This window comes from Homo sapiens, chromosome 7, assembly GCF_000001405.40.
Source record: "Homo sapiens chromosome 7, GRCh38.p14 Primary Assembly".
NCBI lineage: Eukaryota > Metazoa > Chordata > Mammalia > Primates > Hominidae > Homo > Homo sapiens.
This window is the reverse complement of record NC_000007.14, coordinates 112146619-112171309: the sequence shown is the minus strand read 5'-3', so window position 1 is coordinate 112171309 and position 24691 is coordinate 112146619. Positions and strand designations below refer to the sequence as shown.

Below are 24691 nucleotides of genomic sequence, written 5' to 3'. Positions count from 1 at the left end.
TCTATTCTGTGAAGCAGATTGTAATTGTATTCATTAGTTATTTCTTTATGGAAAATAGGTTAATTATTTTTCCATTTAAAAGGAAAATTAATATCAGAAGTGAGCCATTCAGCCTTGGCAATGAGATATGAAAATGTGGAAGCTTAAGCTATTGAAGCGTGATGCTGAAATATTTAAGCTTTGAAGAAGGGTTGGGACTGTTTGTGAAAGTTTTTCTAACATTTAGAATTGGAAATACTTATTGTGTCCTGGAAAATAAGTTGTGGATGTTTGGTCGAAGAAGTCTGGTTCATGTTCACGTTAGTTTAGCCTTCCTTTTCTGTGTGTGTGTGTTGTGATTTGAGAGATTTTTCACATTGCTGGATTATATTTGAAATGTATGGCAATGGTTATAAGGTCTGACTGGGATCATCGCACTAAAAGTGCAATTTTTTTTATCATATATGGTACTACTTCTGAGTGTATACTATTCTCTGAGGCAATAGCTAACAATATTTCTGTGTACAGTATCTCAGTATCTTGATAATTGTTCATAGGCAGTCATTTTGGCTTTAAAATTTCTTAGATTACTTAAGTACTATGTCAAGTTTTGTGGATATGTGCAACTCTTCTTAGCATCCTAATTAAGAATATTTTTAAAGAAAATTTTTATAAAATATGTTAAATAATCCTTTCCTTCTTAGAGTATTCTGAATATAGCTTGACCATTTGTGTAACTAATGAAGGTCATCATTATGAATGTAATTCTTGTTCTGCTTGTAACGATGTCTTTGGAGCTATTGAGATAAGTATGGTCTGCTCCTATAGTAAGTTAACTCTAAATATATATGCTTTTTCTGGTTTTTTTTTAAGACGGGGTATTATTCTGTCACCCAGACTGGAGTGTAGTGGCATGATCATAGCTCACTGCAGCCTCACCCTCCTGATCTCAAGTGATCCTTCCACCTCAGCCTCCTGAGTAGCTGGGATTATAGGCATGTGCCACCATGCCTGGCTAATTTTTTTTTATTTTTAAATTTTTTGTAGAGATGAGGTCTTACCATATTGCCCAGGCTGATTTTGAACTCCTGGGCTCAAGCAATCCTTGTGTCTTAGCCTCCCAAAGCGCTGGGATTACCGGTGGTCACTGTGCCCGACCACATATGCTCTTTCAATATTTTTCTTGCCTTTTATTTTTTTCTCTCTTCTCTTTTGTCATAAGACGATCACTTATAATTTTGTTTGCTGCTTTTTGCAGCCTCTTTCCTCTTTCAAATTTTGCTTTTACTCTGCTTGTGAGAATGGAGATAACAATTGAACTTACAGGGGTTGTGTAAAAATCTGGAACCTGTGAGACCCAAGAAATTCTGTTCAGGAAAAAGTGTTGGTGGAGTTTGTAGTAACTAGTTGAAGTTGCACAACTGTTGAGATGACTATAACTTCTCTTGAGTGCCTATTGTAGGCAAGCTATACCCCAGTGGCAGCACTGCTCAGCTCCCTGAATTTGGACTGGTGAAGCACAAAGGTGATTTGTCGCCCTCCTCCCTTATCAGCCATGACATTTAGATTTTGCAGTTGAGAAAGAAAAATTTCTGCTTCTCTCAGTCTTGGTTTGTATGCTGGAATCGAGGCCAGAATTCTCACTAAAGGCTACACGAGAAAGGTGGAGTGGAACAAGAAGGCCTTGGATGGTCGACAGATGCATGATTGGGATTTATCTGCCTAATTCTGCATCCCTTAACTAGTGGCATGATGTTTCTCAGAAATTTCTTTGTGAGTCAAAGAATAATTTATAATTCCCCCACCCTCATAGAAAATGCTTCCTTTAAAATATCAAATATTTGGGTCACAAAATTCTCAATTTTATCCCTCAGATAATTAAATGAGTCTGTTCTAAGTGGCATTTTAATTTTTGTGTTTAAAGTTTCATTTTTCAAGCTGTATTGCCACCAGTTTTGCTTGGAAAGGTATAGCTTTGGAGCAATGGCATATTAGTCCATTCTTGTACTGCTGTAAAGGAATACCTGAGACTGGGTAATTTATGAAGAAAAGAGGTTTAATGGACTCACAATTCCACAGGCTGTACTAGAAGCATGGCTGGGGAGACCTCAGGAAGCTTTCAGTCACAGCAGAAGGTGAAGGGGAAGCAGACATGTCTTACGTGGCTGGAACAGGAGAGAGTGAAAGGAAGGATGGACTTGAAACAGCCAGATCTCATGAGAGCTCACTATCGTGAGAACAGCACTAAAGGGGCAAATTCACCCCCATGATCTAATCACCTCCCACTAGGGCCCTCCTCCAACATTGGGGATTACAGTTCCACATGAGATTTGGGCAGGGACATAAATCAAACCATATCAAATAGTGATAATACACATATATGTGTAGTTTTCTAAAAGGACCACCCAGGGTGCTGATACTATTTTTTAAGTTGGCCATGCTTAGAATGTAATTTTTCATGGACTTCTGATCCAAACTGGGACAACAGATGTGCCTGATTTTCCCCTTCAGTGATTGACAAATATAGCTGTAAGTAGAATTCAAAATTATTCTCTTCATCAGCCATGGTCAGCGTTCACCTGACCTAAGTCCTTATGTTACTTAACTCTATGTTTTTTGAGACAGAGTCTCACTCTGTCACTCAGGCTGGGGTACAGTGACATGATCTTGGCATCTTGACTCACTGAAGCCTTGACCTCCCAGGTTCAAGCGATCTTCTTACCTCAGGTTCCCAGGTGGCTGGGACCCCAGGCATGCGCCACCATGCCTGGCTAATTTTTTGATTTGTAGAGATGGGGGTCTCCCTATGTTGCTCAGGCTGGTCTCGAACTCCTGGCTTCAAGCAGTCCTCCCACTTTGGCATCCCAGAGTGCTGAGATTACCACTGTGCCTGGCTCGTTAACTGTGTTTTTAAAGGAACTCTTTGTATGTGTGCTGACAGGTTACCCAAAAGGAGTGACTTTGAGACTTTAATTTACATAGCTCCAAACAGCATGTCCAGGTGAAAGCACAGATATCAGAATAGGTATGATGGATCTAAGAGCCAAAGCATTTCATTCTCATTCATTGTAGTCCAAATGAAAGACATTTGAATCATGCAACATTTTGAAGAATTTTTAAAACATGCTTTTAGATTGTTTTACAACAAAATTAATGATGTAAAGGTAGTTTAAAACTTGATTAATACCTGATTTTTACTAGTTAAGTACCAGGCAGCCTTTATTTCAAACTGGGAAACTATTTTAAATACTTATGAGTACTAGTATTTTTTTTTTTTGCCAGAAATTGTGACATGTGGTAGATTCAATGATTCCAAAAAATCGATACAGTTTCAAATTTTAATTTAGATGTAATTGTGATCATCACTGTATTTATATATCCAAGTGACTACATTTTAAGTTGTAGACAATTGTTATTTAGAGGTATGAAGAAAAAGAGGGAGCTGGTGGGAAGTTTGCTAGCATAGGAGAAAGTAAAAAGAAGCTTCAATTTTATAATAATGAAATTAAAAGTCTTAAAAAGTCTTAGAGATTATTTAGTATAGTACTTTATTTTTTTCCTTAAGAAACAATCAAGGCATGTACTGATTAATTGAGTTATTTAAGCTTACTGAGGTTGGCTTGAATTAGCAATTAAGGAAATAATACAAAGCCCCAAAGCATAAACTCCAAAGGATGATAATAAGCATGAGGGATGGGCAGTTTTGATGATCAATTCTTAAAATAAGTTCCTTGAATATGTATGACAATATCCTCACCAAATGTGAGTATGTATCTTTGCCATGAGCATTTTAAAGTAATAGGCGGAATTCCTAATGTTCTTCATGGCATTCACAGATTCTTTAATCAAGTGAGTATTTTCATGGCCTTTTCCTGTCTTTCACAAACATTTTTTTTTTTGTAAAGGTGGGACTGACCACTATACAGCTGTGCATTGGGGAGTCACTGGTGACCTCAGCCAAGAATGAATTCAGGCCATCCGGCTACAGGCCAGAAGCTTTGCCAGCTTAGCTACTTGACCACCTGCTTCTGTTTTTCTGTTCCACTTGCAAATGGAGGGTGTTTGTTCTTTTCCTGGCATCAACATCAATTTAAAAAAATTCCTTGGAGGAAGTTGGAAAGGGGAGGCAAGAAGTTGATCAGTGTTATTAGTTTTGTTCCCCGAAGAATAGCATCTCTTAATTGAGATGCTGGGACATTGGTCCAGCTATAGGCCACTGGCTGAATGGAATTTTCTCCACTAATGAATTCTTTTGTAGTTGAGAACTGTTGGAGATGTGTTTGATGGCAACCTTGAAAATTACAAACCATTTATCTTACTTTTCCTTCACTATACAGCCCCAACAAATACAGTGGGTTTCATTAAAGTAATGAAAATTTAAGCTGGCACATATTCTCAGCTACTCTGAAGGCTGGGGCAGGAGGATCACTTGAACTCAGGAGTTCAAGTCCATCCTGGGCAACATGGCGAGACTCTGTCTCTTAAAAAAAAAAAGAAGAATTTAAAACAGATATAGTTATCAGAATTTATTATTCCATGCAACTATTATCACCTAAGAGAAGTGACATTAAACATTTAACAGTTTTTCAGTGATGCCACCATTATCAAGTAAAAACATGTTAGGAATTTCTTACAGCCCAACGAGGTCAGGCCCTTTTTAAAAAAATACTAATAGTTCTAGCTGGGTTGTTACATCCAATTCCCTTGAGAGAATTGAGGTTTAAATTTAAAATAAATCCTCTATGAAATGATTAGATTTCATAGATTAGATTAGATTCACTGTAGGCTCTGAAGGTACCTCCTGTGACATGATATGGGCAAAGTAAATGTGTAAGTCTTCCAAAGTGATTACTTAGAATAACGTACGCACATACACACAAAATAGTAATGAGAATAATAGTGGACAGGAGGAATCTTTTGGAGGCGGTGGATATGCTCGTGGCATAGATTGTAGTGAGGGTTTCATGTGTGTATACTTACCTCCAAACTTACCAAGTTCTATACATTAAAGATGTACAGCTTTTTTTTGTCAGTCATACCCCAAGAGCATGTTTTTTCTTTTGGTAAAAAAAGTACAAAACACTCTTGGCAGTTTTTTCTTTATTCTTTAATGGCATAGTTCTAGGTTATTTCATACTTAAAATATGCCTTTTAGTTTCCCAAGAAACCTAGTTCAGATTGTATAGTGGACATTGATGTTTAAAAGCTCCTCACTTTCTTTGCCTCTTATAGATATGGCATTAAAAAGAAGCAGCAGCAGTTAGCAGGGATTTTCCTCTAAGAAGATGAGAAAAGATGTGACAGAAATGGTTGGGGATGATGGCCTGTTCAGTTAGTTACTCCTCAGTAACAGCAGTGGTGCTTGTAGGATAGTGATAGTGCTAGAGATACAGAAAGTGGCAGTTATTTGGAGGGGGCGAGGGATGTCAAAGGGGTCTCAAGGCTTGGCATAGGATGGGAAACGTGACGAGGATGTTTAAGCAGTAGGGTTCTTTGATCAACTTTGTGTTACTGAATGATTCCTAGGTGTTCTCATTTACCTTGATCTACTCTAACAGAATTTATGTTTTATTCAGTTTCTCAGCAAAAGTTAAGTACTTCTTGATTTTTTTCCCCTTACATTACTGTAAGAAATGTACTTGATATTTAAATATCAAGATAAAAGAAGGGAGTAATAGTTATCATCTTGGAATGTGTAACCCAGGGAAATAAATATGTAAAACATGGATTGACCCTAAGTGTCCAAAGAAATGGGATACACACACACACGCACACACACACACACACACACACACACACACACACACGTATACTATTCCACCATGAACAACAATGAAATCATATCATTTGCAGTAACATGAATGGAGCTGGAGGTCATTATCTTAAGTGAAATAAGCCAGGCACAGAAAGACAGATTCCGCATGTTCTCATATGTGGGAGCTAAAAAATCTGATCACATGGACGTAGAGCATGGAAAGATAGATAGATAGGAGAGATTGGGAAAGATGAGTGGAAGGGAGAGGGGAGGATGCAGAGAAGTAGGTTAAAGGTTACAAACATGCACAAATATAGAAGAAATAAATTCAGTGTTTGATAGCAGAGTAGGGTGACTGTACTTCACAAAACTGTACTGTGCTCTGGTGACGGGCACCCTAAATACCCTGGCTTCATCACTACATGTTATATACATGTAACAAAATTTCTCATATACCCCATAAACTTGTACACATAAAAATAATTTTTAAAGAAGTTAACTTTGTACACATGTAGTGGGCAATTTTTTCCTTCTAGCCATAGATTGAAGCCCAAACTTGATATTCTACATAATATTAATATTAACTAGGCAGTTTCTGCTGATGCCAGTTCTTAGAAAGATAACAAATTTTTACTCCTTAATGGATAGTTCTATGTTTCACCAGGTTGTAATAACATGTCCATTACCAGTAAGAGACATTTTCCCAGTACTCTGTAGTGGAGCTCAAATGGAGCATATTCTGGCTTTGCCACTTACTAGGTATTTAAGCCTTAGCTTCCTCATCTGTGTGATGAAATAACAGTACCCACTTCAGGATGGTCACAAAGATTCAACAAGTAAGGCATGCAATGCATTTAGCATGATGTCTGGCATACTTAATGCCCCAGAAAGGTTTTTAAAAATAATTGTAAGTATTGAGTGTAAAACAGGCTCTCTGACTAATTCTAAGATTGGAGAGATGAGAGACTTTTCCATGTGTTGAATTTTAGATAGAACACAAAGTCGTGTGTGTGTGTATAGAGTATATAAATGAAGCAGTACATACTTAGTATAGTTCCTGGCACAGAGTAAGTAATCCAGATAGATTAGAGAATAACAGCTATGAGTATTATTATTAATTCAGTTTTCAAATGTTTATAAAATGTGTACTTTATTAATATGGTTATATGCAGACTTTAAGACAGTTATATATGTATATATTTAAAGAACACTAAGCTTGCTATATAACCAGTAAAGATGTGCAGGGTGATATTAATATGATTAGAATACAAATGCCTTCAAGACAGGGTCTTTTTTCTTTTTTTAGAGACAGGGTCTCACTCTGTCACCCAGGCTGGAGTGCAGTGGCTTGATCATAGCTCACTACACCTTCAAACTTCTGGCTCAAGCAATTCTCCCACCTCAGCCTCCTAGAGGCATGCGCCACCACACCCAGCTAATTAAAAAAATTTTTTTGGTAGTGATGGTGTTTCTCTATGTTGTCCAGGCTGGTCTTGAACTCCTGGCCTCAAGCAATTCTCCACCTTAGCCTTCCAAAGTGTTGGGGATTATACGCATGAGCCTCTGGGCCTGGCCAAGATAGGGTCTGTGTGTGTTTTGTTTACTGCTGTCTTCTCAGGGACTAAAATGTGTTTGGTACATAATAAATGCTCAAAACACTTGGATGAAAGGATGGATGAATATGTGCTAGACACATATCAATGTGTGTGCTTGCTTAGCCCCTTGCAGTTCTAACTGATCATGAATTTTTCCATGGCATAAAGGTTGAGAGTATAACTTCTGTCACCAGGCAGTTCAAGTCTACTTACTGGCTGTGGGTCTGGGGCAATTTACTTAACCTCTCTAAGCCTTAGTTTCTTCATTTGTAAAATGGGGTAATAATTATTTCATTGATTTATTATGACTATTAAATTAATCAATATTTGTAAATCGCTGAGAAGAGTATCTGCCTTGCCTATACTATGCTCTATGTAAATGTTAAATAAATAATTAAATAAATAATAAGTCAATAAATGCCACTTGTGCCAGGAATGTGCACACAACCGAAAGACAACCATTCATTGGCTGACATTGGCATGATTTTGGCTTAGGTCATAAAGAGCTAGGCCAAATTTCTCTTTTAGGACGTTATACCTGAGAAGTTGGAGATTAAGTCAGTTAGCTATGAGAAAGGAGATTTATAGCCCAGGGAAGAGGGTAGTCATTAAAGGATGCAGGCAACAAAGATGCCTTGTTGGCCAGGGCATTGATGAGAGTGGAGCATGCTGTGCACAGAGGAAGGGAGAAAATGGGGAGGGGAGGGAGGAGGGCAGGATGCTGGGGTATGGGGGTTAGGCCACGTCAGAGTGGTTCCCCCAAACCCATTCTTTTTATTTGTTTGTCTTATAACTTGAGTGAAGCTCTGTTCCTTGTGAGACAAAGGACATGATGTGATTAGTCATTCCTAATAACTAGCTTGCCGTGTCTTAATTTATTCCTTTTTGGTAAATGATTAATTGTTTAGGAAAAACCCACCTAAAAGTTGTTGTAGGATATGGCAGTAGAGGCAGTAGCAGCTACAAAGGAGGATAAGTTGACGTCTGGCTCCCCACACTCAGGCAGTGTTACGTTGCATACAGTATAATGAACAAAGAAATCTGTTACAAAGAAGTGTCTGCCTATTTACTGGAAAGTCAAGTGTCCTTGGATAATTCAATAGTGCTTGAGAACATTATATGTTAGGGTTTAAGTAAGTGACTAGATAAAAAAGATAAAATCGTGTTTACTATGGCTTCTTTTTTCAAGGTAGAGAAGCATGCTGTTCATTTTGAGGTTTCCTATAACATCAGGTAAAGTTTAGCCAGATGAACTTTGTACATTGTGTGAACCAGTATTCTTTTAGTTGAAAGTGATAAAAACCCTCCTCAAAGTAGTCCAGGGGCAGAGGTTATATGGAGTTTCTTAGGACTCCGTTGCTTTTGCTCCAAGTTTACATGGTTAGGATTTTGGATAGAAAAAGAGAGAGGGGAGTGGGGTGTGTGGGTGGCAGGGAGAGGGGGGAGAGAGAGAGAGAGAGAGAGAGAGAAAGAAAGAGACAGACAGACACTCTCTTCCTCCCAACATCTATACACAAAACTAAGTGAAAGGGCACAGGTCCTGCTTGGGTCACATTCCTACTTCTGGTTGTACCACTGTATCCAGGGGGATGATGAGAGCTTGGTCCAGTCTGAGTCATGTGTTTCCTCTGAGGCAAGGGGGCTGGGGTACCAAGAGTGACAGCCCAGCCCAGGCCCTGCAGAGTGGAGGAGGGGAGGCTCTGCAGGGGAGGAGTGCTGGCAGGCAGAGACAACACTTCCACTCCAGGCAAATGAATGGCAGAGTGTTTGTTATTCAGGAAACCACTCCTCCAGAGCTCTGCTCTCTTGATGCCAGATAAATGAGGCTTCACGCTATTTGGAATTACTTACTTTCTTTGGGAATACGCAAAATAAAAATTGTGACACATATAAAAAATTTACATTATCATTTTTTAAATCAATTGTTTGTACTTATACTGTCATACAAAGGGAAACTTTTTCACAAGCTTTTATACAAACACATTAGTAACAGTACACCCCCATTTCTATCCTCCAAATCTTAAGATCTTGGGAAGTTGAAACCAGTCTGGATGGGGAGTAGCAACTGTGAGTTCAGAATTCTCTGTAGTTAGGATGCTCAGGATGCAGGCGTTTTGTTATCCTTTACTTACAGTCACTGTGGAAAAAAATTACCTTGGCATAAAGGTTCTCCAGTTTTGTTATGCCACATTAACCAAGATGTGTAAATGTCATAAGTGAACTATTGATATTATTTAAGTGTTCCAGAGAGACTGTACCAGAGCTCAAGTCATCCCCAGGAGAGCTTAACCTACCTTCCTTCCATAAGTAAAGCATCTCTGACATCACATAAATCAGCCCAACCTCTCTAGTCAGTACAGACTGCCTTTTTTTCCTACCCTAAAAAATTTGCTGCTTGACATTGGAATGCAGAATGAATATGCTGCTTTTGTGTTTCACAGGTTGACACAATGATAAAGACAGATCCCAGGGTCAAAGCAAAATTCTCTGGTTACCCTTTCTAGTCTAATTAAAATTTATAGGAAGTGTAGCTTTCTATTAGGTTTTCCATGCCAGACATGAAAGATCTATGTATCTTTCCTTCCCATTACTATGTGTCTGGCCAGATTGTTTCATGCTGTTAGCATCCAGGTTACCTGGTACAGTGTATGAAATTTTCTTACGTGGATTTTGCAATGGGCATACATCCTATTCAGTTTTTAAAACAAGTGCAGCAAGTTTTAAAACAAGTCCACAGACTTTTTTTTTCTCAACCTTTTCTTTTATATTGGACTTATATAGGTAGTAACAAATATGTTCAGTGTTCTAGAAATATTTGTATATGGGGTCTATTTGAAGACTGACTAGCGGTCGCCAGGTAGACATCATAACAGGAAAGGAATCAGTAGGAAATTTGCCACTTACAAAAGTACATGTCTGCTTTCAAGGCTAACTTAATTATTAAAGCCTATGACTCACTTGAGTTGTTAAGTCTTTCTGTCCCCCTGCAAATATTAGTTAAATGTCTATACCAGAGAACAAGAGGTACAGGGCCACAGTGGTGATCTTGATGGGGGGCCTCGAGTCCTGCTTAATAGAGCTCAGAGTCGATGTTAGCCCGTGAAAATATTTGCTCAGCCTTCATTCTCAGGAAAAACTGATGAAATGTAAACTGATGAATGCCGCGATAGGATCTTTAATAGAGGCTATAGCCAAGTACAAGTAAGTTGTTTCGAAAGATAAGTGTATAGAAAGCTAAAGTTTGACAAATTAATTGTTGTTCCCTGCTGAAGGAACATTCTGTTTTCTTTCCTGCAGTGGCCACTGACCTCTGGCTGGGGCAGTGGGGGTGCCTGCTTAAGGAGATAACCCAGGGCTGTTCAGATTTCTGTGTAACCTCTGACTGCCATGTTCAGAGTCTTGCTGATTTACTAAATAGATTAAGATACTTTCCAGAGATTGGGCCAGCTTGATAGGTTTCCTTTGTCTTAGTTGCTCCTCCCTCAGAGCTTGCATCAAATCATTCTCTTCAGGGAAAATTTGCCCCAAGAATCCCATGGAACCTGATGTGGTTTGTACTGTCTTTGGATTCCTGTGGCATTTTAATACTGTTAAGATCTAGATATCATACTGTTCTCTGGCATTGTGTGAGTGTACATTTGCCTTCTCAATTAAATTATCCCACCAATTCAATTTGCAGAGTGTTTTCAAAAGAAACATCTTATCATCTCATTTGATATTCACAAAAGCCCTCTGAGAGAGGTAAAGCAGGAGCCTCTGTTTACAGATGAGCTGAGTCACAGAGTCGGATATACTTGGAGCCCTTGCTCTGACTGCAGTGCACTGAGATAGACAGAGGAGAATACAGGTTGAGTAGTCTTTATCTGAAATGCTTGGGACCAGAAGCGTTTCATATTTCACATTTTTGTTTTGATTTTTAAATATTTGCATTATATTTACTGGTTGAGCATCCCAAATCTATAAGCCTGAAATGCTCATTGGAGTGTCATGTTGGTACTCCAGAAATTTTGGATTTGGGAGCATTTTGGATTTTGGGTTTTGGGATTTGGGATTCGGGTATTTGGGATTATTATGTATTATATACATTATGTGTGTATATATATATGTGTATATGTATATACATTATGTATATATATTATGTATATATATACATAATATTATGTATTATTATACATAAGTATAATACAAAATGCTTGTTTTAGAAGCTTACATCCTGGCTACAGAGGGAAGGTATATGCAGTTACCCCAAATTGTGACTATTTTGTGGAAATGTGGGAAGACAGAATTGTTATTGGGATAGGGAAAGCGTCTGGGGTAGGAGGGTCATATAAGTGCTAGATCCCAACAGATGGATAAGACTTGGACGGAACGTGACACATCCTTGTCAGGGAGACAACTGTTAGAGCAAAAGAAATACGGAAGTACGAACTGTGTTTTGACAGGAGGAAGTAGGGCCGTTTGTCTGTAGTTGAGGAGTGTGTTTAGAGAAGTAGGAAAAACATAGGTTAGAAACTCAGGATGGAATCAAATAATGGAGGACTTATGCCAGACCAGGTTGGGCTATGAATGCATTTGAGAATGGGAGTGGTGGTGATAAAGGTGGTGGACACGCACCAGGGAGCGATGAGGATGAGAAGGGTTGAGGGACTGCTGCAGAGACTACGTGATAGGGGCCTGAACAGGGATGTTGAGGGCGGGAGGAAGAAGAGATGCAGATGTGAGAAAGATTGGGAAGGGAAGAAAGGCAGCGCCAGTCAAGTAATGAGATGGTGGTAGGGTTTTGTAGAGTGGTAGAGACTTGAAAAGATGCTAGAACATCATTTTATGAGACAATAACATATTTCTAGGAGGGCGTATTTGCAGTGATGTACTGGTAGGGAGGATACTGAAGGCATTTGGTTACATTCACAAGTATAAATTGTGACCAACTGTTTGGCTTCTGTTACATCCTTCATAGCAACCAACACAGAGCAGGCCACTTGGTAAATATTGCTGGCTTCAGTAATGGGATTCATTTAGTTGGCTTGTAGTAACTTAGATGAAGCTGGGCTGAACTTTACCTGCCGTGTAAACCTTAAACTGTGCTAGTAGTAAAAGAGAATGGGCAAGGAATATTTAAAATACTTATGGAAACAAATGATTTTTAAGTGCTGTCAGGAGCTTGAGAAACATCCATTTATAACCAAACAATTGAGAAGCTCATTAAAAATAGTTTTTAGCCATTTATTACAAAGCTTCTCTAACTACTTTTATTGAAATACCCTTTGAAATTTGCTAAGTATATTAAAAGTGATAGTTTCTTTGAAATTTTCAGTATTTGACACTGATAACCTTAGTAAAAGAGAGACTTCTTATATATGAATAAAGAGGATTTAGCATTTTAACAGCATTGATTGCCCAAGTATTATTTAGAAAAGTAAATGCAATACTGTAAGTATATAACTAGTATCTTGAAGATTATTTTATGAACCTTATCAGTTCTTGTATTTGATCAAAATTCATTGTGTTTTGGAATTCCAAGGACTATTTTAAAAAGCACAACAAAAACCAAAGAAAGGTATAACTTTTCCACACAGATTAAGTGCTAAATTTACTGTTGTGTCTATATTCCTACTTCATTTGTTCAAAAAGTATTTATTGGAAATTCATACTATGTATAAGCAATAGGTGCTAGGGATACAGAGATAAGTAAGACCATGAGTAGTACCAAGTCCATATAGGTTTCTAGCTAGAAACTTGGGCATCACCCTAGTAAATGGTTCCTAAATGTATTATTCCCAAGACCAGAAGCATCAGCACAATCTGAGAATGTGGAGGTGCAGCTCAGCCATCTGTTCTTACAGGTTCTCCTAAGTGATTCTGATACAAGTTTAAAGGTTGAAAGCCAGAGAATTTTAACCTGGGCTTCCATGGAGATAACTGCATTTCAGTATTATTATAGTCAGTATTGTATTATATACTGCACTTCAGTGTATATTTAGTTTCTATATATTTTATGCATTTAAAAACATTTTGAGGACAATTTATAGGCCTTACTAGATTCATCCTCTCCACTATAGCCAAAGAGACCATCCTTATGTGCTAATCATTTAAATGCTTAAAATCATTGTCATTGGTCACACGGGATCAAGTCCAAATCCTTTAGGATGGCTTGCAAGGTGTTTTCATGGCCTGGCCCTTGTCTGCTTTTCCAAGAACTCCTCCTGTGCTTTTCAGCACATGCCCTGTGCTTTAGCCTTAGCGGAAGTCATGCCACACTTCCTTGATTATACCAGGACACCCAAATCTGTGCATTGACAGCTCTCTCCGTCTGAAATATCCCTCTGTTTCTGCTTTGCCTGGTAAACTTCTATTCAGGCTCATCAGCATACCAGGGCAGAGTTAGGGTGCTCTAATCCCTGAACTGTGAGAGTTTTCCTTACATTATCTCCAAATAATTATTATAAAAATTATTTGACCACAGATTTCCTATTTTAAAAATCCTTGATGCTAAATGAAGATCTTTCAAATGGATTACACAGGTATGTAGTTGCTATAGAGTGGTGCTTTCTTTTAACCCTTAAAATGTTCATACCTCTGGAGAGTAAGCCAACAGCTGGTGTAGAATCTGGCCGGCAGTGTACCATGTCCAGGGCAGGAAGGGGAAAATGACGTCTCCCATGGCCGCTACAAGGTGGGTATTGGATAAGCACTCTGTAATTACTCTCATTGCTTGGTTGCCAGGCTGTTGGAGGCCAAAACACATATGAGGTTTTGTGGTTTGAGCTGTTGTCCTCCCACAATACTGTGAGCTGCTCTCAAATGACGGGAAAGAAAGATGACTAGGGCTCAACCATAGTGAATAATTAAAAAAAAATTTGAGTCTCACCTCCCAATATAAAAGTCATACATACTCACAGAAATCTAGGAAGATAGGAAAAAGTGTGAAGGAGAAAAATTACATGTTTCCCTGTCTGCTAATGAAGATAACATTAAAAAAAACTTTTTTTCACGTATGTTAACTTTTAAAATCAAGCTATATATAATTTTACAATCTGATTTCCTTTTCATACTATAAACTTGTCTCATAAATTCTCAATACATATTTTAATAGCTACATGATATTTTATTGAATTAATTTGTCTTTACTTATATATTCTAATATGAAAGGTTAAGGTGGTTGTCCATTTTCTTTCTTTGTAAATAAAACTACCTTGAATATATAGTGAATAATTTGTGTGTGTGTGGTTTTTTAATAGTCTTTATAGCCAAGTATATAATTAAGTATGTCAGTAATTTCTTCTGAACTTCATCTATTTGACATTAATCAAATATTTATTGAGCACTAGAACAATGCTGGGTAGCGCCTCCTTACACAGGAATGTAGAGAGTCTCCAAATCTGCTATTTGTGAATACTACATCATAGAAAGTAGCATTTAAACAATTTTATGTGGGTTTGTCTCTATTATAGAATGTCATGCTTGGTAAGATAAGAGAACAGCAGACTTTAGCTTTCTGGCTCACTGATTAACCAAATATTTAAACATGAATACAATTTATAATTCTTCAATTCCATACAGTTTTTACCAAATTATAATGTAACCCCAATGTGATATTTTTCTTTTCATTACTTCTAAGAAATGCAAACATTTTTATAGATTGTTCATGAAATTATATCTCATAATTGGCCGCTAAGTTCTAAATATGTAGTTCTTTTAGACTGAGAAGGATGAAGGAGGACTGAAGAGAGAACTAATTTTTACAGTGTCTGTGTGCTGGACACAGTGTGAGGGAGGCCATCCTGAGAGTTTGGTGTTGAGATTCCCATTATAGAGATGAAGAAGCCGAGGCTCAGTAAAGTACAATTTCAAGGTTGTGTAGGTTGGGTAAGAGACTCTAGTGTGTCAGCCTCCAAAGCCCATGCTCTGTTACATCTAGGGGTCTCGAGGTCTGCGAGCCCTGTGAAAACAAACTGGGCTATGATTCCTGTGTGGAGTGAGGTCGTAATTCTAGAATTTTGCTGTCCACATATGGCTCTTTATTTTTAAATTTAAACGAATTAAATGTAAATAAAATTAAAAATTTATAGTTTCTCCATTGCACTATATACTGTTCAGTGCTCAGTTGTCACATGTAGCCAGTGGCTGTCACATAGGATCATGCAGATGTAGAGCATCTCCATTATCACAGAAAGTTCTTTTGGATGATGATAGGCTGCCTCTGGAAAAGTCCTTAAATACTACCGTCCATTACCTTCATTAGCAGAACCACTGACAAACTCAAATACTTCCCTGGGACTCTGACTCACATCTTTTGAACTCTGGGGTCCACACTGTCCACAGTCTGGGACTCCTAACTGAAGGAGGGGAAGAGGACTTGAATAACCCACTGGGTGGTGATTGCAGCAGAACCATAATACTAGTTTATATGGAATATTACCCAAAAACATTTCTTTGAATATGACAGGCCTTGAGAAAAGTAGTGATTTCTGTTTCTTTACATGATGAATGCTATGAACTATGTATTTCCAGGTGCAAGTTACTTTTTTCACATTTTCTTAATGTTTCCTCAACACCCATTCTTAATTCAGTTGGGGAAGGGTAAACCAAAATGGGGAGGAATTAGTGGGAATCAAAATTCAGGTTATACTCTGATGCATTTTGAACATATTAAATTAATCCTTAGTATTCTCCTCAGGAAACTTTAATGATACAGGGAATAGACTAAGGACTTCTTTTGGGGATACATGAAACAAATTTTTACCTACTGTGTATATATTTGGTTATGGCTTTTAAAAGTAGTTGGGGAAAACAGGTCATTTTGACGGTTAAACAGTGTCACATAAAAGAAAAAGCGCTATGCTGCTGATCTCTAAAAAGCCATTTAACCTCTCTGAGTTTTATCAATTTCCTTGTCAGTTTCTTCGTCAATAAATTGGAAAAACAACATCTTCCTTTCTTGTCAAAGTCAATAGAGACTCAATGAAATCATGAATATGGAAGTGTTTGGGAAACTGCCAGTGAGTGGTGTGCTGTGCATATGTCAATATGGTGTTGTTTCCTTGATCCTCTCTTTTCTCTACCTGTTTTAAATCTGAGGCACAGCAAGGTATTGTGTCAGGCCAGAGCTCCTGAAGAATGCTCCCCGCTATTGCATGCCCGTAGCCTGGCTGAAGTTGCAGTGCAGGATCTTGTTCTTTCTAGAGGGATAGTAGTAATGAGATTGACATGATGAAAAATACCTTGAGTAGGAGAAGTCTTGATGCCATGGGCTGCATGAAGTGTCTTCCCTTTGTCAACCCCACGCCAGTGTTCCTGGGAGATGAGAGAGTCTTTATCTCATGGAGGAAAACATATCAGTGTCTGTTTTAGTAGATCTGTAGCAGAGGACAGTTGTCTTGATATATTGTAGACTGTACCCTATGTATCAGCTGCCATCCTGATTCAACAAGGGGGAAGGAAGTTGTCTAATACTTGTTAAGCGTGGAAGGACATTTGTGACAAATGTAAAACATCACTGTAGAACTTCACATTAATCTGTATTTCAGAAAGCAAGTGCAAAGAAAAAGGAGTCAAACAATGTCTAAGTAGCATGGAGTTGTGCTCTTAGTTGTGAAAGCAGCAGTCTCTTGTTCAGTGGTTATTGTAATTCTCAGACCTATGCTTTCTTCATGTATGTTGTTTAAAGATTACTTATTCTTTTCATCTAAAAACAGTATTTTAAAAAACCAACTGGGTACAGGTGCTTATGCCTATAGTCCCAGCACTTTGGGAGGCCGAGGTGGGAGGATTGCTTGAGCCCAGGAGTTTGAGACCAGCTTGGGCAACATGGGGAGACCTTGTCTCTACAAAAAATAAAAAAATGAGCTGGACATGGTGGCAAATGCTCGTGGTCCCAGCTACTAGGGAGACTAAAGTGGGAGGATCGCTTGAGTCTGGGAGGTCAAGGTTGCAGTGAGCCCACATCAAGCCACTGTACCCCAGCCTGGGTAACAGAGTGAGACCCTGTCTAACAACAACAACAAAAATTGCTACATTATTGTTTCTACAAGAAGTTTGCCACTCTGTCACAGTTGTCCATTTTTTATTATTGCTAGCTTTTAACTTAGAGGCTGATGTTGCTGAAATATTGCTACTTTCTATCCTCCGAAGTACCTGGTATGATGCCTTGCACACATTGCTTGCTTATTCAATAACTGGGCTTGGTAGAAATTGGAGGGTGATCCTTTTGTTTTGCTGGGACAATGTGTCCTTCACACACATCCATCATTCTATATTGGAATTGGCAATTAATTTTCTAGTTGGAATAATGTTATAAATAATGGGTTGGTTCCCAGAGTGGTCCACCAAATTAACCCATAATATGGCTTAGCTCATGAAGAAATATACATGATGGAGAAACAGACAACTGACTTAGAGCTAAATTTTACACAGCTGAAAACTTAAATTGATAAGCTGGGAATTGCCTATCATTTTTAAAATATAATTTCAGATAATTATTATATTTGTCCAATTTTAAGTTATTCTTACATCTCAGAGTATGAGCCTCCTCCCTTCATAGGAACATTAACCTTAAATGTAAAGTGTAGCAGCTGGTGGACATGGAACTAAATTTAATTTTGTCTACTTATATGTCAAAGTTGTGCTGACTATTAAAAACACTGTGATTTTAGTATTTTCCTTCCACTTAAATGTAGTTTTTAAATGGCTATTTTAAAATGTTCAATGTGCATTTTAAATTACCATTTACAATGGTGTTCTTTGATTAATTTACACTGGTTTTTCTTTGTCATAAAGAGAATTACTTAAAAACTCAGCAAGTCAGTACATCATGGTAGTAACAAAGGCATAAATCTAAGAATTTATTGTGCTACATTCTGCAAAGGTAAATATAATTTATTGTAAAATAATATTGAGATATAAGACTATGATATAATATTACTCATTTGCCACTCCAAACTTTTTAGGCTTTAATTTACTTTTGAAAGTGACATTGGCATTCTGTGTGACCACTGATCCTATTTGTTACATGTGTTTGAAATGGTTAAACACAAAAATATGTTTAAATTTTTATTACATGATAGATTATACATTTACTCTTACAGGCTCTTAGTTTGAAGAAATGTTCGGTTTTTTTTCACATTTTACTACTTAAGGTACGTTTGTTGGCTTAGTGTGTGTAAATTATAAAGGTACTCTTAATAATCAAGACTTTAGGCTGGATGCAGTGGCTCAAGCCTATAATCCCAGTGCTTTGGGAGGCTGAGGCAGGAGGATTACTTGAGACCAGGAGTTGAGACCAGCCTCAGCAACATAGCAAGACCCCCGTCGCTACAAAAACAAACAAACAAGAACTATCAAGAAATCAAGACTTTAGTATGTTTTGAATGGTGGATGAGTTTGTTTTTGGGATTTAAAATCGATGGCAGGGACATTTTTACTGCATATACCCTTTTTGTTCATTTTCAGTTGAATCAAGGAAATAGAAACCTTCTCAGTGCTGCAAGCTAAGAATTGCTGTGCACATTGCCTGCCTGTTGGACTCTGTGACTTGTACCCCATCACACCACAGAGCTGTATCTTTAGGAGGCATGCTGTGTGGCATGTGGATCCAATTATCATCACCATGACTATTTCATTTGATGGAAAATCTGTAGTAAATCAAGAATATTAAGTCTGTTTGTTAATATTGAAGTCCTTAGCAGCCAGCTGTGCTGAAACTGTTTGTTGCTTATATTTATAGATGAGTTGAATGCTAATACTCTCTGTCATGGAATGGTCTTATTGTCCATTTTCTGAGCTCGTTACATAGTAAATGGAAGAATTATTTTTTCTTTAGCTTCTCTAAAATTAAAGTTGAGCATGTGCCTTTATATAAATATTCTTTTATGAATAGAGCATTTGAGAAAACAGCATTCATTATTCATTTGTATGTCTTTTAATGAATTTTTGGTTTTTTCCTCTGTCTCAAATGCAACTAAGCATCAAGTTATTGCATATTAGCTTCAATTAGCTAGAATTAGTTTTTTTTTTTTTTTTTAATAACAGTTTGGTGCTCTAGTTAAAAATACATGGTTCCACATTCTGCTTTTGTGTGGCTGCTCTTCCTTTCCCTCTTCTGAATCTAAAGCCAGGCACAGGTTTTTTGTTTTTTGTTTTTTGTTTTTTGGTCATCAGATTTCTGTAGGTGGTTGGGTCATATTAATCTTCATGTTAATGTGTACCTTTTTTTTTTTTTCCACATCTCTACTTCTTGCTGAACTTTCCTCATTATTGAAAAGAGACATTCATTTAAATAAAACAAAAACAGAGCTCTCTGAAAGAAAAGCATTCAGAGACCCACAATAGCAGAACTTCATGTTTGCCAGATTTAACCTCAGTATCAAAATGCAATGGGGGAAAGATGTGCTACTACTGTGTATGACTCAGAGATGCTTACTGGTGACGAGCTCTAGATCCAGTGGTGTCCCTCTGAATTTCCACAGTGCCTGCCTTCACAGTGAACTAAAAATTAAATGGATTTTTTCTTACCCTAGCTGTGTGACAACTGTGGTGCCGTGGGTATGCCACTGACTCACTCTCCTTTTTACTACTGCTACTATCTACCATATTTGGAGTATTTTTTTGTTAGGTGCTGTATTGAGTACCTAACATGCATGATTTTATTGGCATCCTACAGACCTATGAGGTAGATGTTGTTACTGTTGCCATTCTACACATGAGGAAACTGAAGCCACAAGAGGCTAATGTAGCTACTGAAGGTGGGCCACCAGCTCCCGTTCTGATGCCAAAGCCCCAGGCGTTAACCACTAAATTGCCCTAGCTGTAGGTACAAATCCTTCTCCTTGTAAAACTGCTTCAGAGCTGTGTATTACATCATATCTCCTAGGAACTGGCTCCAGGGTATGATAAAAGTATACAGAATTAAGTTACTCCTCCTATCATGGAAAGTCACTTATTTTATGTGTGTTGTGCTTAGTGGAGATAAGGAAACGCTGCTCACCTTCCACTTAATAACCAGAAAACTCATCCTTAAGAGATCCTTGTGGCTTAAACAAACAAACCTCTGCAAGCCTTTTAGCATCCCCAGTCTGGCTGGGGCCAAGTAGTATCTTGTAATTAAGCTATGGGGATTATGTTGCTGTTGCTGATGTTCCCAAGAATGTGGGTAGGAAATGGTGTCTGAATATATAGAAGTCCTAAGAAGGGACCATGGTCTAACATTGGGACTTTTTAAGTTTTGGGGAGGTTGAGGATGGTGTTTATTAAGTCACCTTGGTGCTTAGCTGTGAGGACTGCTGGAGTGGAGGGCTTGGAGCTTTATTCAAAACTGGAAGAAAAGGATGGCAATGGATGAGCTGAGCAGATGTTGAAGCCACCTCGGGGAAGATCTGTGAATGGTATTAGGATGCTGAACAGTCCAAACCTCAAGAGGTTTACAAAGCAGACCAGGATTGACTTGCTTTTGAATAGGTGGGCTTTGTCTCAGTGTTTGAAGGAAATAACTTGACACAGGACTACGTGTGGGGGTAAAGCAAGACAGGACGAGGTTATCTCCAAGTATGAGGGGCATAGACAGAATGAGCAGATTCAAAGAGCTTGGAGCGGCATGTTGGCAGACAAGTGCTCATTCTTGACGGATGTTTCATTGATTAACTTGAGGCTGTACCCATAAATTACCTAGTCATTGGCTAATTTGTACCTTGATATTTCTGCCAACCATGATAAGACAGTATACATTTACCAGTGCAGTTGCGTTAGACATTTTGGGGGGATTTTTGATTAGAAAGGTAGAGTTGGGGTCTTAGAAGGAGAAATTTCTCAGGCAAAAAAGCATTTCAAAGCATGAGCTTGGAGTCAGACCTAAGTTCAGATTATATCCTAGGCTCTTACTAGTCTTGTTATTTTAGGAACATTACTTCTCTAAGCCTATATTTTCTTTTCTAAAATGGTGGACAATAATAAGACTTTCCACAAAGTGCTTTTGGAAGGATTCGATAAGACAGTGTGTTGGAAGCAGCTGGTACCTTGCCTGGCCCACAGTAAATGTTCAGTAAATGTCAGCAGCTGTTGCCTTTCCCACATCCTTTCCATCCTTTAAGCATGTGGCAATTGAACCTGGCCCATAAGCCTTTTCTAGGGGCTGCCTTTGGGGCATATTTCAGAGACTGAGGGCTTCTTCAGAAGCCTGTTGATAGGACAAGCATATCAGGTGCTTTGGCCTGGAAGCTCATTGCTGCTTCCTCTGCCAATATTTTTCATCCGTTTTCCAGATGTACTGAATTCATAGAAGAGACACTAGAAATCATATCTCCTGGTGACAGATGAATTTTCTTTTATTATTCCTTTTATAGCTTATGTGAATTGCATTCTCTTGTCCATGATGGGATGGTTGATCTTCTCTTCTTTGATAGTCTTCTTTTATTTTCTGTAAAATAAGGATATGTTGTATGTTTTTTATAATGTTGTCTGCTCCTCCTTTTTTTTTTAAACCTCTTTATAAGTCATTTCTTTCTTTCCTACAGCGATTTTATGAAGACCTTGTATTCTCATACACAGAGGGGTTATCAGACCCATGTTGGCGTGGTAACAGAAAAATTATCACGTGTGCTCAGAATCTGTACTCTGAAAGGCCCAGTTGCTGAAAACATGATTGTCCTGCATTTTTTTCTTCCTTAGAGCTGGCTTATGTCAGCCTATGGGCTGTTTGCTTGAGCATAGAAATAGTGGTATATTCAAGTGGGAAGCTGAGAAACCATAATGACGAAGGGATGGCAGCGCCATCCTCTTCCAGAGCCTGGGAAGGGCCGCGCAGTTGCACCATCTTTTATGCCATAGGCATTAATGAATCATAAGTCTCTCTTGAAAAATTTCCATGGAGAGTTTCTATGATGTACCTGCCAAAAAGAGATGTGTTAACAAAGCACTTCTTAAAATGGTATTTTTTAAAAGTTCAAATAATTAGGAACAGAGCAAGATGAAGCAGTAGAGCTTGCAGGAGGGAGCAGCGTGCTCAGTGGCCAGAGACTTCACCTGAGTTCCAGAAAATCAGATTTCAGGGCTATTGGCGCATTATCGTAGCCACAAAACGTTGGGGTTCATGTTACCTCTTTTGTCCAGTGGTTTGTGTGTTCCCTTCTCACTGAATTGGATTTGACATTCAATTTGAATTGACAGTGAACTTCGGGGTAATTCCTTTCAGAAACCTGAATCATTTTAGGATCTGGGAAGCATTACTCTGTGGCAGGGGCTCTTAACCAAAAAGCCCATCGCTAGAATTCTAGGGTCTCTGAATTTGGATGGGAGGAAAAACAAAACAAAACAAAACAAAACCCTTTATTTTCACTGTGCCCTAGCTGAAATTTAGCATTTCCTTCAATTATGAATATAGACAGCAAATAATGGTTGTATTTGAAATGTGAAATTGTACTTGTGAAACATGCTACTGGCCCCTAGATTTTATGCTAGTAGTCCTATTATTCAGTGTTATTAATGGAGAAGCACAAAACGACTCTATCAGAACTTTGCTTTTTAAGGGTTAGATAATTGTATTTCACTTTAATTGTTTTTCATTGTAATTACATGATTTTTATGCCTTTAAAAACATTATTCTGACCAGGAGTCCATAAGCTTCACCAGCTTTCCAAAGGGGGTTGGTTCTATGTTAGTCCTGGCTCTAAGCCATTCTTCTGACATCTCCCCCTGTCCCTCTGCCAGCACTCTGGAGAGCTGAGATGTGGCTTTGAAAGGCCCAGCATCAATCACTGGAATCCCTATTATAATCTTGACTCCAGCAATGAAGATTCTGTGGCCATTTTTGTCAGTGCTTTATATGTCTTAAAGGAGGAGGCTTTCTTTAGCTTTTCTGTCTTTCCAGGACAATGCCGTCTACACAGACTTCCAATGGAAGATGTTGATTCAGCGACAATTTACTAGAAAGCTGGATGCTGTGAAAGCAAGACACAGAAAGCAGAGAACATCAAGCAGTGGGAGTGTGGAGGAGAGGGAGAGAGCATGTGTGCTTGAGCAGAGGGGTGATAGGAGGCCTGAGGGGAGAGCTGGTGGAGGCTGTGAAATGAGATGGGGAAGTAGGGAGTTGGGTGGAATAATGAGGAGATGGAGAAGTAATTAAATTCAAGCTTTCAAGCCTCCTCCTGGTGGTGGCTTCTCTTTATCAAAAAAAAAAAAAAAAAAAAAAAAAAAAAATCTACGTTTGCTCCTGGGAATTGTTCCTGTGTAGTTAAGGATGGATTCTTCACTCGTGTCTTCAATTACTTGAATTCAGTACGGAGGTTTTGTGACTCAGAGCTTACCTCTCAGATAACCGCCTTATTTTTGTGATGGTTGTGGCCAGGTCTTCTGATGCAGGATTTCTAGATTTTATACTGAACACAGGAAAGTGGGCAAACTTTTCAATTATAGGAAATACCTTTGAGGGTATTTTGAGGTATTGGGCAAAGGCTGAAAACAATTTCAAAATAAAATATTTTTAGGCAAAATATCTGTTAACTGTAAGAATGTTGACTCTGTTAAGCCCAAAGGGAAATGTTACAGGTCAGGTGGATCCAGGACAGAGCTAAAGGTGGTAGACATGCACTGATATAAATGTCTGTGCTTAAAATGTGGTTCTAAGAGACTAAAAAATTGTCTATTCTGGTACTAGTAGAACCTAGGTTTGGATCTCCTTGAAAACGCCCAAAACATATTTTACTTGCCATTTAGAAAAGATAGTTTTAGTGACTAATTAGACTTACGTGGGTTGTAGTCTCTAAAAACCCAATAATTTACTGTTCACCTGTGTATATTTCTAATGACAATGCTGAATTCAGATTGAAGGTAATCTAAATTAGGTACAATACAATATCTATAAACATTATTATATAAGAACTGTATTACCATCAAATAATTTTAATATCTGGATTAATATAACAAAGTGTTCCCTAGTATATATTACTAGGAGTCCTGCTTTAAAAAATAAATACATGATAGTTATATATCATTTGTAGGTAGATGTATTTATAAGGTGCTTTGGGGCTTTTAAGAAAGTGTCTTCTCTTAAATATTTAAAACATTTTTATTTGCATTACTGGTTTCCCTAGCATATCCTTTCTTTAGAGAAAATATAATCAAATTTTGGATACTGTTACACTCGTCTAAATTATTACAAATTCTTAATTTCAAACTTAATGAAGAAATTAGATGGGATGAAGAGATATCGAAGCCTCCTAGATCTCTGTAAAATGTTCTTCCTCTGCCAAAGTACTTTTTTGAGACAAGGTCTTACACTGTTGCCCAGGCAAAAGTGCAGTGGTGCCATCAGGGCTCACTGCATCCTTAACCTCCCCAGACTCAGGTGATCCTCCTGCCTCAGCCTCCTGAGTAG

At 38.2% G+C, this 24691-nt stretch overlaps 1 protein-coding gene across 12 annotated transcripts in view, besides 1 other annotated feature; it reads left to right on the top strand.

Moving 5' to 3' along the window:
- DOCK4 (dedicator of cytokinesis 4) overlaps positions 1-24691 on the top strand; it is a 480290-nt gene that overhangs the window by 35090 nt on the left and 420509 nt on the right. The window lies entirely within an intron of this gene.
- Positions 8805-9345: an enhancer, noted in NCBI's record as "NANOG hESC enhancer chr7:111802020-111802560 (GRCh37/hg19 assembly coordinates)". NCBI's record gives its function as "activates a minimal SCP1, AML or CMV promoter by ChIP-STARR-seq in naive and primed H9 embryonic stem cells {active_cell/tissue: H9 hESC(naive and primed)}" and the evidence as "EXISTENCE:reporter gene assay evidence [ECO:0000049][PMID:30033119]".